Source organism: Homo sapiens, chromosome 10 (genome assembly GCF_000001405.40).
Source record: "Homo sapiens chromosome 10, GRCh38.p14 Primary Assembly".
Lineage (NCBI taxonomy): Eukaryota > Metazoa > Chordata > Mammalia > Primates > Hominidae > Homo > Homo sapiens.
The window spans coordinates 124377740-124381829 of NC_000010.11; the positions used below are offsets into that span (position 1 = coordinate 124377740).

General features: G+C 54.6%; 1 annotated feature.

The window, feature by feature from the left end:
* Nucleotides 1577–2294: an enhancer, noted in NCBI's record as "H3K4me1 hESC enhancer chr10:126067885-126068602 (GRCh37/hg19 assembly coordinates)". NCBI's record gives its function as "activates a minimal SCP1, AML or CMV promoter by ChIP-STARR-seq in naive H9 embryonic stem cells {active_cell/tissue: H9 hESC(naive)}" and the evidence as "EXISTENCE:reporter gene assay evidence [ECO:0000049][PMID:30033119]".

A 4090-nucleotide genomic window follows, 5' to 3' on the forward strand; every position in this document is an offset into this window, starting at 1 on the left:
TCATAATGCTTCCTTCTCAAGGCTGTTGTGAGACTTAGATACAATGCTGCATGGCAAACGTCCAGCACAGAGTGCTTGTGGCAGTGCCCTCTCAGCGCGGGAGGACAATGTTGGGCAAACTTGCTGGGCCACACGTACACAGCGGTGCTAATGGCAGTGCCTGCCTTGGGATCCCGGGAGGATGAAGTGGAATGCTGATGATGGCGAGGACCATTCTGGAACCTAGCACTTCAGCACCCAGTGAATGTGATTCAGAGATGGTGTGGGGAGCCAGGTGCACACTTGTAATTCCACCTACTCAGGAGGCTGAGGCAGGAGGATCACTTGAGGCCAGGAGTTCGAGACCAGCCTGGGCAACATAGCAAGATCTCTGTCTCAAAAAGGAAGAAAGGAAAGAGAGAAAGAGAGGGAGGGAGGGAGGGAGGGAGGAAGGAAGGGAGGGAGGGAGGGAGGGGATGCAGAGGGCAGGGGAAGGGAAGAATAACTGGGCACTGGGCTTGTCCTCTTGAAGACTGCCAACTCCTGCCCGCCCAACACAGCCTAGCCCCAGAATGTTTATTGCAAACCTGGTGGCGTGGAAACGCAGATGCCATTTGGGGAAAGAATCAGCCTTCACGGGAGGGAGAATGCAGTGAGGAGGGATGGAGGAGGCCTGAGTCCAAGAAGGAAGAAGGTTATGTAGACGAGGTCAGATGGAAAAGGGTCAGGACAGATGCAAAGAAGATGCTGGGTGTGGCCAGTGGTGCTGACGCCCCTCTTGGCCCACCCAGGCTCACCAGGGGCAGGTGGACAGTACACCTGCCCACCCACGCAGCATGAGGGCCTGTCTGCTCGACATCTGCAGAGCCAAGGGTGGCCAAGAATGTTACCCTTCAAGTAACCATGGAAGGTAAGTTAACTTCAGTCCTCCCAGACTCCATGGTGCCCACAGTGCCCAATTTTGGAAGGATAGTTATGCAAGGATATGGACAGAAGGCCCGGAAAGAAAGCTGCAAGCCATCTTCAGGAGCTCTATCTGCCAGACGGGATTATGGATGATTCTACCCTCCTTCTGTGTATTTTTCTATTATTAAGAGGTTTTCAAGGAACATGTATTACTTTTATATCAATTTTCCTTCAGCCCCTAGTTCACTCCAAGCAGATCTACTTGATGGGCAAAGCCACAGCCGAGGGAGTCTGAGCTGGGCAAGGCCCGCCCATTGGCACCCGGAGGTATTCCGTAGGCAACCAACGAGGCTGCTTCTCTTGGCCTTTCTGACACCGAGGGCGTACCTGAGGCTTGAAACTTCCAAGAGGTTTAGTCATCAATCTCTAGCCTCCCGCTGGCTGTTCCCGATTGTCAGCAGAGATCTCAGCGTGGGGAGCTGGCAGGCAGGCATCCCTCATTCAGGAGGCATTTGCCAAGAACGGTGAGGGGGGAGTGTCTCGCCCCCTTTAAGTATCAAAAATCCCAGGCGCTGTGTGTACAATCCCCTCCCTGGCCTTTCCAAGGGTGGCAGGAGTCCTAGTCCAGTGAAAAGACTGTTGAAGAGGGAGGAGATTCCCTGCTGCTGAGAAGGCCTTGCAGGGAGCAACAGGCTTGCCCCAGGGGCCGCTGGTGCCAGCCAGGACGGCCCATAGTGGATCCAGCTTCTCCCCCAGTCCATTCAGTTCCACAGCACAGGCCGTGGAGGGCCTGCCCAGCCCCCTCACTGCAGGAGTGCAGATGAGTGGCAGGTGGCCATCCAGTGCCTCCTGGCCCTCGGCTTGGGGACCAAAGGGGTTTCCCATAGCTCAGTGCACGTGCCCCACTCTAAGAGCCAGATTCACAGCAGGTATCCAGGAAGGTTTATAATTGGGTACCTTCCAACTGATATTCTTCATCTATTTGTTCAAACGTATTTGTCGATTGCAGGAAGGAACCAGTGCTGCCTCCACTGTGTGGAGGGTAAAGGCTTGATGACATGGGGCTTTCCAGCCCGGCAACTGCCATTGAGGCACTTTGAGAGGCTGTTGATTTCTCTCCACTTCCCAGAGCCTTGCACGGTGATGGGGGCGGGGTCTTTTTACATTTTGCCAATTCGGCTTATTTTCTGTGGTGCTGTTGTGTCCTCAAAGGTTGAGGTCCCGGGGAATTTTGCCTGGCTGGCTCCCTTCAATCTACTCTGCCCACTCTGCAGCCAAGCAGAAGCAGCCATGTCCCACCACCAACCCCTGGGCCTGACTCCCTTTCCCTTGAGGGTCACACTCCTCCCAGGCTGCAAGGCCTGATTTAATGGCACCTCCTCCCTGCTCCTCCCGACTCCCCTGCTCCTCCCCTGACTCCCCAGCTCTTCCCCACCTCCTCTGTGCTCTTCTCCTGACTCCCCATCTTCTCCGTGAGCCTCCCCTGACTCCCCAGCTCTTCCCCATCTCCTCCATGCTCCTCCCCTGACTCCCTGTGTCCTCTGTGCTCCTCCCGACTTCCCAGATCCTCCCCATCTCCTCGGTGCTCCTCTCCTGACTCCTCAGCTCCTCCGTGCTCCTCCCCTAACTCTCCAGCTCTTCCACGTTCCTCCTCTGACTCCTCAGCCCCTTCCCATCTCCTCTGTGATCCTCCCGACTCCCTAGCTCTTCCCTATCTCCTCCATGCTCCTCTCCTGACTCCGCAGCTCCTCCGTGCTCCTCCCGACTCCCCAGCTCCTCCCCTGAATCCTCATCTCCTCCATGCTCCTCCCCTGACTCCTCATCTCCTCTGTGCTCCTCCCAACTCCCCATCTCCTCCATGCTCCTCCTGACTCCCCAACTCCTCTCTGCTCCTCCCAACTCTCTATCCCCTCCATGGTCCTCCTCTGACTCCTCAGCTCCTCCCCATCTCCTCCATGCTTCTCCCCTGACTCCCCAGCTCCTCTGTGCTCCTCTCCTGACTCCCTAGCTCCTCCCAGCTCCTCTGTGCTCCTCCCGATTCCACAGCAACTCCGTGCACTGCCCTGACACTCCAGCTCCTCCTCTGATGCCCCAGCTCCTCAGTGCTCATCCCCAGCTCTGTCCCAACCACTTCTTCATCCTGACTTGTATGAGTTTTGCTGTTTTTGTCTCTCCTCCCCCACGACTTTGAGATGCTATCTGTCTTTTCTTAGCTTTCATTCTCTGGCCCCTAGCTCAGATCCTGGCACTGTAAACACCCAATAGACCCTGGTTTGATTTCGAATTGCTCATCAATTTCTGAAAATAATGCACCTCAAGCTTTTCTTGGCAGTTGTCTGCAAATTGATTCAAGATGCCCAGCCAGGCAGGGGCAGGTGTGCTGGGGAAATCAAGGAAACCAACATCCATCCTGCTGGGAAGGCCTCCCACACTCTGACTCATCTGGTTTTCCTTCACACGTGTATTTGCGGGAAACGAACTTCTGTGCTTGAATAAATATGCGGTTCTTTGTAAACATCAACGTTGTAAGTGCAATAAATCACTGGAAACAAGAGGCACCTCTCGCGGTGGAGAACAGGAACGGCTTTCGCAAGCACTATCGGAAAGAAGCAGCGACATCAATAAAGCCGCCCGTCAGAGCTGAGGAAAGAAATCAAAGCCCTTCCTGTGGAGGACACTGTTTAATTGATGTCGCATTCAGGGGATTATGGACTATGATCAATGCAAACTGGACTGACCGAGAGAACCCTGAGCACGGAAGGTTAGCTGGGTGTCCCGGGCTCCCAGCCAACCATGTCAGAGCCAGAATGGACACCCAAGGACAGTAAAGACAAGACCCCATCTAGAGTTGGAAGCACCCAGAAGCCTCTGTCATCACCCTGCCCCAGCAATGCCACAGATGGGTGCCCCCTGGCAGAGCCACAGAATGTGTAAAGCTAAAATGAGTGTCCCGGCATCCAGGGTTCTCTCTGTAGTACCCGCCTCAGCATCCCTGGCCTCATACACAGCAGGTACTCAATAAAGGTGGCTGAATTATGGATTCTCAACTCCCAATGCTGGCAGTGGGTCAGCACTGAACACATAATCCCAACTGCATGGTCTGGTGCACTCCAGGAAAACAAACCGGTCAACAATTGTCACTAGAGGAAGTCAAGACTAGCTCAAGGTAGTGGACGGTACATCTCTTCATCGACTTGCTGATCCA